We start from the raw sequence: 14,322 nt of genomic DNA, 5'->3' as shown, positions 1-14,322 counted from the left end.
ACAATGAAAGCATGTACAAATACAGAGTCAAACAAATTTCAATGAATCTAATGCTATTTTTGGCATTCATATGGAAATAAAAGTTAAACAGTAAGTCTCAAACACACAAAGAAAATGCCTTAACATAGGGAAGTGGGAAATAAGTTTACAAACCTAAAGATAACAGTAGTAAATAAACATAAAATTAAGCTCCAAATACCTAGAAGACAAGTTTAGGGGCTCACAATGAGTTGCACCCCTAAAATCTAACAAAAGAGAAACTTATTTTCTTACTAAGAAATCAGGATACTTATTGTGAAGACATTAAACAGAATGGATAATATTCTTGATTTGTTTTAAAGAAAAACATTCTTTGTATCAATGTTTGACTTTTAATAAATGTTAAGGAGGAAATATTACATTGTAACTTCTTGAAAACCTCTTTAAAAATTTACTTTGTTGAGCATCCACTCTGGGCCAGGCACAGAACCTAAAATGTCAGTTGTGGGCTGCTGAGTGACTAGAGAGCAATAAGCTTTTGCATCAAACATGAAGTCGCATGGTTGATTTGTTTAAAAAGAAAATTATTGAGCCTGATTTATATTCTTGCCCAGATAAAGGATCACTACCCAAACCCTCATGCATAAACGTGGCCTACAGAAGTTTCTGATGAAAACTCTACTGAAGCAACAGCTTTGGATCTGCCCAAATGGTCCCTACTCAGGTAAAGTCCCAAAGACATGACTAAAATTTTGTTGACCTGCAACAGCACTTTTCAACCTAGGGTCTACAATCCCCTAATGAAATCAGGGATAAGCTATAAGAGATCCATACCCCCTTGAAATAATATGCAAATTTTGTGTGCTTATGAATATTAGCACTTTCTTGGAGGGTTTACAGCTTTCAACAGACTCTTAAGCCATAAACAGTTGACTGATTGAATAATTATAAGTGAATGGAGAGAGTTCCCTGCCAAAAAAGCTAACAGAGTGGTACATTGCAAAATTTATTAACAAATCAATCCTGAGAGTGTGCCGGGGGTCAGACGTCTCAATGGAAATATAGCATTTTAGAACAAGGTAGGTGGGTAGTCCGCTTCTTTTACATTTCTCTTCAAACAATGTGTCAGTTTCTAGGTTACAGGTTGAGGATACAAAGGTAAACACAACATGATCCTTGCCCTTTGAAACACTAACAATATAGCTGCATAGAGAGGAATTATAATACAATGGGAGATAAGGATATAAGCTTTGGAATCAAACAGAATTGGTTCTCCACTCTACCACCAATTAGCTGAATGATCTTGGGCAAATTGTTTGACATTAATTTTGCATCTTTGTTTCTCTAGCAATCAAATGGGAATAAGAAATTCCAATCTTATAGTCTTAAAATGAGGATTAAATATAATATTAAACAACTCTAAGTATGGTGCCTGGCAATGGTAGGCCCCCAAAAAACAAAGGTTATTATTATTATAGACATCCAGAGGAAAGAGAAATTTGTTCTGGCTGGGGATTACAGGGAGATCTCAACTAGACTACCATACTCAATTTTGGGTACCATATTTTAAAAGATACAATGACAAAGTGGTAATGATGTGTATTCAGAGAAAAATAAATGAGATGGCGAGGAAACTTGGAATCATGTCCTAAAAACTAGTCATTTGAAGGAATTTAAGTTATAAGTTAAAAATGAGAGGCCGGGCACGGTGGCTCACGCCTGTAATCCCAGCACTTTGGGAGGCCGAGGTGGGCAGATCACAAGGTCAGGAGTTTGAGACCAGCCTGACCAACATGGTGAAACCCTGTCTCTACTAAAAATACAAAAATTAGCCAGGTGTGGTGGCGGGCGCCTGTAATCCCAGCTACTCGGGAGGCTGAGGCATGAGAATCACTTGAAACTGGGAGGCGGAGGTTACAGTTGCAGTGAGCCGAGATCACTCCAGCCTGGGCAACAGAGTGAGACTCCGTTTCCAAAAAAAAAAAAAAAAAAAAAGAATTCTATACATTGCCAGAGGGTAGACGTTGGATCAAGACTTCAAGTGAATACATTGTATATATTACACATAAATAAGACCTTTATAACAAAGAAAGCTGTCTGAAGATGGAATAGGATACCTTATTTGTGGGGATTTCTTTGAAACAAAAATATTTTTTTTAAAAAAAGCCAGACATGGTGGCTTACACCTATAATCCCAACAGTTTGGGAGGCCAAGCAGGGCAGATTGGTTGAGCCTAGGAGTTTGGGACCAGCCTGAGCAACATGGCAAAATCCCCTCTCTAGAAAAAAATTCAAAATATTAGCCAGCATGGTTATATGCATCTGTGGTCCCAGATACTCAGGAGACTGAGGTAGAAGGATTGCTTGAGCGAGGAAGGTCGAGGCTGCAGTGAGGCATGATTGTGCCACTGTACTCCAACCTGTTAATCTGGGATACTATTGGTTGGTAGTAACAAAAGATCCAACTTGAAATAAGTGAAACAATAAAAGGGATTTAGTGGCTTGCATATATATGAAGTCCAGAGGCAGGTTAAGCTTCAGATATAGTTCGATCAGGGCTCCAGCTCAGCTTCTCTACATTTCCCCTCCAAGGTCAGTCCTCCTTTGCATGTCTGCTCCCTTAATGACTGTCAGCTGCAGCCAGAGCCATATGTCTCTGCATTCATATCCAGCAGAGAGAAAGAGATTCACTTACTTTAACAACCAAACACAAGTCCTAAGTTTGTCTGCTAAGCCAGGCTGAAATAATCACTATGACCAAGGGGCTATCATGTATTGATGGGCTTTGGTCCAGGTTATTGCCCGTCTTTAACCAATCCCTCTCGAAAAAGGGAAGAACTGTGTTCTTTGGTTTATGTCACCCCTACAGATGGGGATAGAGATGAAATCCACCCAAATCATACAGTTGCTAAAAAAGAGGTAGGTCTTCAAGGGGAAATCTGGGTGTAATTAGGACAGGCAAGAGGAAGAAAGGCAACTGAGTAGGCAACAGAATCAGGGCCCCAGCAAGTAACAGAAGGCACACTCAGAAACTAACTGGGGAGAACTTTTAAAAGAGACTATCTACAAAGATTTGAAGAAATCCTAGGCTAGCAACATTCCTGTACTCCTCCTGGACCCAAAGAGACAAGAAGAATGGTTATGATAACCAGGAGAGCTGGGTGGTATGGAGGGAGCCACTGGATAGAAACCGACTTTTAAAGAGGAAGCAGCCAACCCACAGTCACCTGTGAATAAATGCTGGGTGAATAAATGCTCCTCTCCTCAACCCTCTGATCCCCCACTAGTGGCTCTGGCCAAGTGCAACCATAAAACAGAGGATAAGAGAGAGCCTTGTTGGTGCAATCCACAGTACAGGTTAGCCTCCCTGGATAAGGAGTGGGTGAGAAGGGTCGAGAATAGATCTGGAAGAGCAAATGGAAGCTATTCAGCACAACCACCAAGGGCTATCCTGCCCATAATCATCAGCCAAAAAATATACAGTACTGTATAGCCAAATGTTCTAGGTGATCTGATCTTCCGACTTCTCACTTATTACCCCTCTCAGTTCATACTATCTCCTTAGAGTCAGGCAATTGTGTAATTAGGCAAACAAAATACAAACAGCCGAGACACATGATAAGCAATTTTAGGATTTAAAAATATATAAATAATTTTATTTACATTTTAATATTCCTTGGTTTGCCTGTTTTAGCTGAGCGAGGAAAGTTAAGCATAAAGCTTTTTTTAAAAAAATTAAATTAAAAATTAAAAATAAATTTACAAAATAAAGTAAAGATTTTAAAAAAATCAAGGCTGGGCTTGGTAGCACAGGATCTGAGGCCAGGAGCTTGAGGCCACAGTGCAGTGCACTATGATTATGCCTGTGAATGTGTGAATAGCCACTGCACTCCAGCCTGGGCAACATAGCAACATCCCGTATCTAAAAATGAAAAACAAAAACTTTTTGTCCATAAGGAAAGAAGAATAAGTGCAAATAGAAGAATCAAGAGACAAAACTCAGGTAGTTAGTAATAGGAACCCCTTTTGCAGTAACAGCCTTTGATCAGAGTTGACTTCATTTAATGCTTCCCTGATCTGAGTCTTGTTAATTCAAGGAGCAATTTCCTTAAATTCCCTTCTTCCTGAGCTTTTGCCATAAGATGCAGGAGTACCTACTGATGATTTGAAGCTGGGAGAGTTTCTGCTCCTGCACAAAGCTGGAGCTTTGTTAGATGTTGTCGTACTACTTAGTGTAATCTTACACTTAATAAACAATCATAACTTAAATAGAGGCTAAAATGCTAACCTGAAAACTAAATACCATCTACTATATTCTTTCTATGTGAAAACATGTCACAAGTTCAAAAAAGAATTTCTAAGCATAACCCAGTCATTAACTGGGAAATGGGCTATAGATTACATGAGATTTCTTTGGAATGGCTGTTAACACAGCATTTTGATGCTAACCACAAAGTATTCCTCCTCTTCTTGAATGTGTTTTCATAGCAGAGAACTGCATTTCTCAAACACTTTTCAAGAATTTCTTCCAAAACTAGAAACTTAAGGAGACAGTGGTGTCCCAGAAATCTAGAAGTACATTTCCCTAGCAGCTTTCAGTGTTCTTGTTACATTGAGAATAGGATAACAAAACACATGAAAAAGAAGTAGAACCCATAATTCAATTCTGTTTAATTGCATTAGAAAAGAAAATTTAATAGATAATTTTTGCACAGCATACACTAAGAAAAGTAACTTTTGGAGGTAAGCAATGGCATTTTGATTTTAAAGAAAGGATAATTTCAAAAAGAGAAAACACCCCAATATTGTCAGGAAAAAAGTAGAGAATAATAGCCCTATTTTAAAAAGAGGCAATAATTACCAAATATATTGTTAGAGAAAACAAAGTACATTTTTAAATCCCACAGTTAAAGGACATAAAATATGTAAGATAATTCTTTTTTATACTGATGTATAAACAGGAATACGTAGCTTTTATAAATAAGATTATGACCAGCCTGGGCAACATAGAGAGACCGTGTCTCTACAAAAAATTAAAAAATATTAGCTGGACACAGTGGTGCATGCCTATGGTCCCAACTTCTCAGATGGCTGAGATGGAAAGATCACTTGAGCCCAGGAGTTAAGGCTGCAGTAAGCTATGATCACACCACTGCACTCCAGCCTGGGAGACAGAGAAATCTTGCTCTGTCTCTTTAAAAAAAAAAAAAAGAAAAGAAAAAGAAAAGAGAAAGAGCAGAAAAAAATTTAATTACGAAAAAAGATTAACTAGAGTTTCTTACATTTGGTTGTTTGTGATTCTAAAAAGTGCTTACTTGGTAATATTATGGTTTCAAATGGGTCTCTGTAAATAAACCATCAAGCTTCTCAAATTAACTATCATATTAGAGTACTTTGAAATGTAAGTTTATAATATCCAAAGTGACAATAGAATGTTTTGTTTCCTCTATTACTGATCCTGAATGTTGGCCCTAAGCACTTCACATTGTCTTCTAATTTCACAAGAGACTCTCTTCAAGATTTTAGGGTAAACAAGATGACAAAAACAAAACACATGCACACACATAAGACCTGTAAGAAAAAAAACCTAAGTGAACACAAATAATCTAAGAAGCAAATGCCCCTGTTTTCTCCATTTTGAAACCCCAATGACAACAATATTGAAACAGAACCAGGTTAACCGTAATACAATTTATAGAAATACAATAACACATATATTAGAAAAAATATTAAAACATTACCTCAACCAATCAAAATTCTAAATTCAGTTGCAAAAGACCAGACACACACATATACAATGGCTATGAATAGGAACCAGCATTTGCAACATTACTATTGACTATAAATTATTCATTAAAAATAATTATAAATATTATTCACTATAAAGTACTCACTATAAATACATTCCAAAACAAAGATATAACTATAAATATTCAATTCACAGTGGCATGAGGTACTTGGGGATCTAGGTAGTTTGATAAATGTGGAATAGAATCCAATGCAGGACTGGCCGGGCACGGTGGCTCACGCCTGTAATCCCAGCACTTTGGGAGGCCGAGGCGGGCAGATCACCTGAGGTCAGGCATTCGAGAGCAGCCTGGCCAACATGGTGAAACCCTGTCTCTACTAAAAACACAAAAATTAGCCGAGCGTGGTGGCACATGCCTGTAATCCCAGCTACTCGGGAGGCTGAGGCAGAAGAATCGCTTGAACCCAGGAGGTGGAGGTTGCAGTGAGCCGAGGTCACACCACTGCACTGCAGCCTGGGCGACAGAGTGAGAATCCGTCTCAAAAAACAAACAAACAAACAAAAAATCCAATGCAAGACTAATCAGAAATGAACAGAATCCAATGCGGGACTAATCAGAAATGAGACTGATGGCTGGGTGCAGTGGCTCACACTGTGGTCCCAGCACTTTGGGAGGCAAATGCAGGAGGATTGCTTGAGTCCAGGAGGTCAAGACCAGCCTAGGCAACATAGAGATACGATGTCTCTACAAAAAATTAAAAAAAAAAAAATTAGCCTGGCATGGTGGCTTATGCCTGTAGTCCCAGCTACTTTAGAGGGTGAGAGAATCGCTTCAGCCTGGAAGGTCAAGGCTGCAGTGAGCAGTGATCGTTCCACCGCACTCCAGTCCAGGTGACAGAGCAAGTCCCTGTCTCAAAACAATAAATAAAAACTAAAAAGGAATGAGACTGGAAACGTAGGCAGGGGCCAACACACAAAAAGCCTAAGAATCTTAGACTGCTGTCCTATCATTTCATGCTTTTCAAACTCATATCTGTGTACTCCATGGTAATACAGAAATACAGAGAATCAAAAGTCAAATATAGTACATTTTCCATAAGTGTCAAGTTTATGAAAAAAAATTGGGAGTTAAATGCTATTTTTGTGTTAAATCCAATGTTACTAATAGAATATAAAATTAATATAAAATTCTCAGACAGAACACAAAACTTCAAAGCAATTTCAGTCTTGCAACAGTCTAATTCAGATTCACTGTTCTTTACTGTTAAGGACAATTTGAGGAAAAGTTTGAGAGGACGTGCAGCCAAAGGCTGGTTTTTTATGAGCAGGAGAGTGACATGATCAGATTTGTGCTTCAGGAGTATCCCTCAAGGGAAGTAGCATGCAGAAGGAGCTAAAATGTAAGAAACAGGACAGTAATGAAGGTAGGTGACAAACCGAAAAGTTGTTAACAGTGAACAAGAGACGAAAAGGACTTGAACCAGAGCTGAGGCTGTGAAAACAAAGAGGGCCAGGAAGATTCCAGAAAGCTTAGGCAGACCAGACAGGGCTTGACTGAATGCACAGTAATTATTCAGTGAGAAAGCTTTTGAGAACTTAATATAAAGGTGTTCACTTTTTTTTAGAGCCGGTACTTCTATAAGGTATTTGATAAACATACCTCTAAAAGCTTCCAGTTAAAAATACTTTCAGTATGCCTTTTAATTATAGGAACTATAAAGTTGTGGGATGCTATTATAAATCTGCTATACCAAAAATAAAACAAAATTTGAGATTTATGAAAACTACATTTAATAAAGAAAACACTCATATATTTCAAATGTTAAGAAAAAATTATTGGGTTTCTACTAGTAAGTTATTGATCAGTATTTTCTAGAGACATAAATACACAGTTTGAGAACTAGAGTTATGAATGTCTTTGATCCTTAAAGTGATATTCTAAAATAAAGAAATGAGGCCAGGCACAGTGGCTCACACCTGTAATCTCAGCACTTTGGGAGGCCGAGGCGTGTGGGATCACCTGAGGTCAGGAGTTCAAGACCGGCCTGGTCAACATGGCAAAACCACATCTCTACTAAAAAATACAAAAATTAGCCAGGCATGGTGGCAGGCTTATGTAATCCCAGCTACTTGGGAGGCTGAGGCAGGGAGAATCACTTGGACCTGGGAGGCAGAGGTTGCAGTGAGCTGAGGTCGCGCCACTGCACTCCAGCCTGGATGACAGAGCGAGACTCTGTCTCAGAAAAAAAAAAAAAGAAAGAAAGAAATGAATGAATAAACACAGTCTCTTCTGGAAAAGAACAAGAACTTAGTATTTCAAAAATATCTGATTACTTAATAATTGAACAAAAGCCATATTAACCATTTCATAAGGGTAAATATGTAGTTTTAGCACAGGTGATTTTATGTAGGCCTTACTAGCAAAAAGACACAAAATAAAATAAAGTGAAACTTTCATCAGTAAGTTGACAGTAAAATATAGTCACTAAGAAAAAGCAGACATTATAATTAAGGGAAATTGTTAAAACAAAAAATACAAAAAAATTCATGCAGAACATATGAAAATATTAGTTTAAGTAGATGAAATCTCAAAAATACAAATCCCAGTGTAATTCTGAGAAAGCTTCTATCACTAATTAAAACTGCTCCTTTTATTAGACCCTTTGATATATTTTTCATGTCTATTGCGAAGGGAAATGAGAAAGATACCAACAGCAAAGCAAGAATAGACAGAACGTCTTCAATTTGGGGTCTAAATATATTTAGAATTAATGCAAGGAATTGTGATAACAAAAACAGCTGACATTCTACAAAGACATTGAGATACTTCTCTATTTCTCTCCTCCTAGACTGTCTATACAAAGAGCTGCTATTTTTTAAATTTGTTTTTTTAAAAAATGCCATCTGCTTCTTCCAAGCCTCCTCCTTCCTGAGCTCCCTTACAGTCCTCTATTTGTATGGGCAGGGGAGGCTGCTTCCAAGAAATCAGTCCATTGCAGGTGTCCTTAACAGGTAGTATCACAAAACATTACCTGACAGATGGGAAGTGGACCATGGCGGAATGGAAAGAGTTGAAAGACAGATGAGATAAACAATACTGACAGACACTGCATTTTGAAACAAAATAGCCCCCCATGCCTACGGGTTATAAGGTTATATGTTCATATTTATTGTGAATGGCTATGTAAGGTCTCATTACATAGTAATGGGGCATTGGTCTCATTATTTTATAAGTCACATGGAAGAACTGCCATGCAATTGTCAATAGCCAGCCCTCTTGCAATTTCATGCATCCGGTTACAGGAGGAACTACAAATCCGCAACTACCAGGACAGCCCACCACACTCGGAGCAGTATATAAATTCAGGTTATATGTGAAACATGTGTGAACATCCAGACAGCTAAGAAATCCTGAAGAATCAAAGAAATGATTTCAAGCTTTTGATAAAACAAAAATATATATGCATAGGAAAAGAGAAAAGAACAACATCCCAGGATAACAATGGTTATCTTCAGGTATCAGAAATATGGGTAATTTCTGTGTCCCCTTTGTGCTTCTCTGTCTTTCCTAGCTCTCCTACAATGAGCATGCAGCTTTTGAAATCAGGGGAAAAAAAAAGTTAAATAGATGCAGAGTTTCTAATCTTAAAAGCAACAGTTAATCTGGATTAAATACACAGAGTAGCTATCTTTAAACCTCATCCAAGTCACTGAGAACAAACCCTCCAGTACTGTACTTGGCGTAGCAGGAGGCGGCTGCAAGGCTCCAAGGAGCGCAGCAATAACTCTATTCTGGGGCCTTAGCAAACTGAGAAGACAGAGTTGTTTCATAGAAACTTGGGCAAGTGCTTCTGCAACAACAGCGAAACTCACTCCCAGCTCTCTCGTGCCCCTGCCCCCTATGGCACTCCCGAGCACCGGGGACTATACGTTGGAGCCCTCGCCCCTGCCAAGGTGCTCCCGAAGCTTCGGCCCCCTCTACCCCCGCTCCCCCCCGCAAAATGTGTGCTCCACAACTCACCTCCACTCTCCTTCACCTCCTACTCCTCTACGGCCGTAGGGGAAGGAAAGACCGGGCCGAACTTGGAGGCAGCAGCCCCTGATTCCCGTGACCTTGGAGAAGCCGCTTCGCCACTCAGAGCCTCAGTTTCCCAATCTGCCCCCCTCCCTGGCAGGGCGTCTGCAGGCTAGAAACCCCAAGAACTCAGTCAAACCGAGGGGCCGCTCTCACCACTCGGCGCCGACCCACTCCCCAGGACCGCTCTGAGGCGCCCCCGATCCCAGCCTGGACACGGAGCGCCGCCCCGCCGCCCCTCGGGACGCGTCGCCCCTATCACCGTCCCAGTACCTGGCAGTTGCTGTCCTGGGGCAGGTTTTTCACCAGGATTTTCCTGCGGTTGCTCAGCTCCCGCTGCATCCGCTGCAGTCGCGCGGCGACCTCCTCAGGGTGCAGCGCGGCGGGCATCGGGTCCGGGGCGCCCTCGTGCGCTTCGGCTGAGGGGCCCTGCCCGCGCAGCCCCGGCCCCGGCCCCAGCCCCGCCGCGCTGCCCAGGCCCGCGCCCCCCTCGCCGCCGCCGTCTCCCGCCGCCGCCGCCATCTTCCCGGGCGCCCAGCGGCTGCGGACTCCTCGGAGGCTCCAGGGGAAGCGGAGAGAGAAAGCGGGAGGAGGCCCGGGCGAGGGCGAGGCGGGCAGAGGCCGCAGAGTGGGCCCAACCGCGGGGAAGGGGGGCGGTGGGAGGAGGGAGTAGAGAGAGGCGGCGCCGCAGCCAGCAGCCTGCTGGCGGGGAGAGGAAACCTGAGGCGCCGAGGAGGAGCCCGAGAACCACCTCGCGGGAACCTCCCCCGCCGGCCCCCGGCCCCGGCGCACAGGCGCGCCCGCGCCCGCCTCTCGCGGGTCCGCAGGCGGGGCCGGGCGCCGCCACCCGGACACCTGTGAGGGCGCGGACGCGCAGGCGGGCTCCCCCTCTCTGCGAGGCCTTCGCGAACGCCCAGGGTCGTTCTCTGGGGGATGCGGCCCCTTCGCGGTGGCTTCGCCGGGAGACTCAGCCCCAGGCGCCTGTCCCCGGCTGGCCCCCCATGTGACGCCGCAGCTCTCCCCCGGCTCCCCTCGAAACTCCCGCGCTGGGGCGGCCCGGGGGCTGCGGGCGCGAACTCGGTCTTCCCACACCCGAGATGGGGCTGGAGGGGTGGCAGGAGGGCGCCTCCTGCAGCCCGGCTGGCTCCCGATGGTAACCCTTCTGTTGGTTCAAGAAGAGCATATTTGGCAAAGTTTGAGTTTACAATGAGATTTTCTGGGGAGTAAAAAGAGGGACATTGTGGGAGAAATGTTATGTATTTGGTAAAACCTGATCGTAATGTATTTTGCTAGCTGTGTATGAGAAAGCCTGTGCCCTTCACCTGTCCCTCTGTCCCTGTCATGCAGTTCCTAAAATGTAAAACCTGGGTAGTTGGGTCTGCAACATGGAAAGTGATGCTGAAACAAAGACTAGAATGGAAAAGGAGCTGTGGCAGAGGGGCTGGAGAATACGCTGCTTGGAACATTATTTTAATTGAAACTTGGAGGGAGAGTTACAGTGTAGAACTATACTTAGTCAAACGGATGTCATCAGATCAAACAATCCAGCAGCCTTTGGCACTAGCCCAGGTGACCATCAGCGAAGGGGACCATGCATCTTAATTGTGTAGCATGCAAGTACACTAGCAAAAAAAAAAAAAAAAAAAAAAAAAAGACTTTAACACTAATTAAAAGAAAAACAAAATGTTTTAAAGATTTTTTAAAAATACTACAAATTCAGTCCTTACCATGTGCTCCCCCCAACCACGCATTTCTAAATGCTTTACATATACATATTTATTTACTCTTCATGATCATTCAATTACGTAGGTTTTGTTTTCCTCACTTTACACGTGAGGAAATGGGATCTGTTCTGATTGATTCCAAAGCCCAGTGTTCTGAATAACATAAAATAATTCACCCGTAATCCGTCCACCCAAAAATAATGGCTGCTAATACTTGTATCATTAAAATGATATTCGGCAATACACCCTTCTATACCACCACTATTCCTGGTAACCAAAGGATAGAAACAACCCAAATGTCCATTTATTGATGAACAGATAGGCAAAGCGTGGGATATATATATGCTAAGAAATATTTTTAGCCATAAAAAGGAATTAAGGACCCCTACAAGGTGGACGAACCTCCAAAGCATTAAATGAAAGAAGCCAGAGACAAAAGGTCATATATTGTATGATTCCATGCGTATAAAATATCAGAATAGGTAGATTCATAGAGCGGAACACAGATTGGTGTTTACCAAGGGCTGGAGGAGAAGGTAATGGGTGCAAACATCCTTATGGAATGATGAAAATCTAGTTTTGGAACTAGACAGAGGGGGCAGTAGCCCAATAATATGAATGTACTAAATAGTCACTGAACTATTCACTTTTAAAATATTAATTTTATTACGTGACTATTACTGCATAAAAATGTTTTTGAATGATATTCTGTAGTTTACAGCTCTGTTTTCTGCTTTTTACAGTATGTCTGCTGAATCCCTTTCTATGCCAATGTATTTGAATACCATGGTTTTTATGGCTGCATATTATTCTGTTGAATTAGAAAATTCACTTATTTCCTAGCATTAGTATTTCCTATTATTTTTATCTATTGTAAACAGCACTGAGTTTAACCCTCTATACATATTTGAAGATCATTACTTTTCCACAGAGTGAAGAACTAGAAGCAAAATTTCTGCATCTAGAGTAAGCATATTTAAGGATTTTTTGTATGTATTTACAAACTTACCTCAGTTTTCCCTATCACAAGCATTGTATAAGAGCACTTATTTCTCTGCTTGCATCCATGATATTCTAGTATTAATGTATCATTTTGCTTTTAAATTGTATTCCTTTGATTTTAAAAGGTATACATTTTAAACTCCAATAAGGCCCTATTTTGTAGAGCTGAGAGACTTTGAAAAGTACATTCTTTGAAGTGAAGAAGCATGAATAGCCTTAGCATAGGCTGTAACCTTGAGTCATTCATTATGTTTCAGAACATGTATTTATCCAAATGAGTACCACCTCCTTGGCAAACATTTATTAAATGTCCCTTATGTGCTAGATAATATATAAAGGCAATAAGAAGACAGAAATAGTAAAATAATGCTCCTGTACAATAGGGGCTAAGTCTCACTGAGAGAAAATTATGCAATGATTATAATTAAATATAATAAATATGCAAACGGATAGTGGTCTGAATATAACTTCAGTGATTGCTTTTGCTCAAAACATTCTCCAAAGTGCTTTTTTTTTTTCTTTTGTGACGGAGTCTTGCTCTGTTGCCCAGGCTGGAGTGCAGTGGCGTGATCTTGGCTCACTGCAACCTCCGCCTCCCAGGTTCAAGCGATTCTCCTGCCTTACCCTCCAGAGTAGCTGGGACTACAGGCGTGTGCCACCAAGCCCAGCTAATTTTTTGTATTTTTAGTAGAGACGGGGTTTCACCATGTTAGCCAGGATGGTCTTGATTTCCTGACCTCATGATCCGCTCGCCTCGGCCTCCCAAAGTGCTGGGATTACAGGCGTGAGCCACCACGCCCAGCCCCAAAGTGCTTTTTTGGAATTGACTTTATAATCTACAGCAAATTATTCTGCATAGTTTATGTGGTAGCAAATACTCACCTCTTAGAGATGGGTTTAATTTTTGGAAATAATTAAATGTTATTTGAGGTTAAGTCTGGTGAATGAATCAGGTGTTGATTATGTTTTGGGAGTTATGATAATGTAATTCCAGTTTTGGCCCCAATGGGGACATGATTACAATGTTATCAAATTATTAAGCCAATTTTATTAAGTGGCTACTTTGAATTGATCCCACTCCTTGTGCAATATTGCTACGTCGTATAGGGTAGTGGCTTTCAAACTTTTTTGACCCAATCTAGTGGGAAATATATGCCACAGTGGGAAATATATTTTATATCACAATTTAGTAAACACACACACAATCGAAATGAAGATTTCACAAAACATCACGCTCCTTCATCATGTAGCACATTCTAGTATTTCCTATTCTATTCCATTCCATTTTAAAATTGCTTGAATTACACAGTCGATTTTGCATATCACTAATGAGTCCTTACTCACATTTCGAAAAACACTGCCCTAGATTTCAAATCAAGTATGTTTTACATTTGCTCAACTGTTTTCAAGGAATTAAGGGAAATGGCAGAATCTACTGGTTAAAAATAATTTTAAACTGAATTAATTGTTATTGCCACATAAAAGAACTGGATGGAAACTGCAAAGACTTTGGAATGCTACTGTAATTCCAAAGAGTTCCTCTCATGCCAGGTTTAGCCTGACTCTTTAAATAGCTGCTTCCATGGCATACTAAAGGAACACTCTAATCTGAACTTGAAGTGAAGTACAATTATCAAGCAGCAATGTATTTACCAATACCCACAGGTAATTATCATGATCTATATAATGACCATGTTATTAAAATATGAGCCCTATGCTAGCTTTAGCCTTTATTTTTTTAAATATTGGTGGTAATTTTTTAAAGTTTATTTATTTATTTATTTTTTTATTAT

The 14,322-nt window shown here is 40.8% G+C and overlaps 1 protein-coding gene across 3 annotated transcripts in view, besides 2 other annotated features; it reads right to left on the bottom strand.

Moving 5' to 3' along the window:
* Window positions 1-10,423, bottom strand: part of RAVER2 (ribonucleoprotein, PTB binding 2) — an 88,158-nt gene extending 77,735 nt beyond the window's left edge. For all 3 annotated transcript variants that reach the window (NM_001366165.2, NM_018211.4, XM_011541706.3), the window contains exon 1: window positions 10,077-10,423. In NM_001366165.2, the coding sequence (NP_001353094.1) occupies window positions 10,077-10,325 (249 nt within the window). In that variant the 5' untranslated portion in view covers window positions 10,326-10,423. The remainder of the gene's footprint in view (window positions 1-10,076) is intronic.
* Window positions 10,450-10,649: a silencer, noted in NCBI's record as "silent region_957". NCBI's record gives its function as "represses an Ori minimal core promoter by ATAC-STARR-seq in GM12878 lymphoblastoid cells {active_cell/tissue: GM12878}" and the evidence as "EXISTENCE:reporter gene assay evidence [ECO:0000049][PMID:35858748]".
* Window positions 10,670-10,769: a silencer, noted in NCBI's record as "silent region_956". NCBI's record gives its function as "represses an Ori minimal core promoter by ATAC-STARR-seq in GM12878 lymphoblastoid cells {active_cell/tissue: GM12878}" and the evidence as "EXISTENCE:reporter gene assay evidence [ECO:0000049][PMID:35858748]".

Source organism: Homo sapiens, chromosome 1, assembly GCF_000001405.40.
Source record: "Homo sapiens chromosome 1, GRCh38.p14 Primary Assembly".
NCBI lineage: Eukaryota > Metazoa > Chordata > Mammalia > Primates > Hominidae > Homo > Homo sapiens.
The sequence above is the reverse complement of the archived record's forward strand: the minus strand, read 5'-3'. Positions and strand labels throughout refer to the sequence as shown.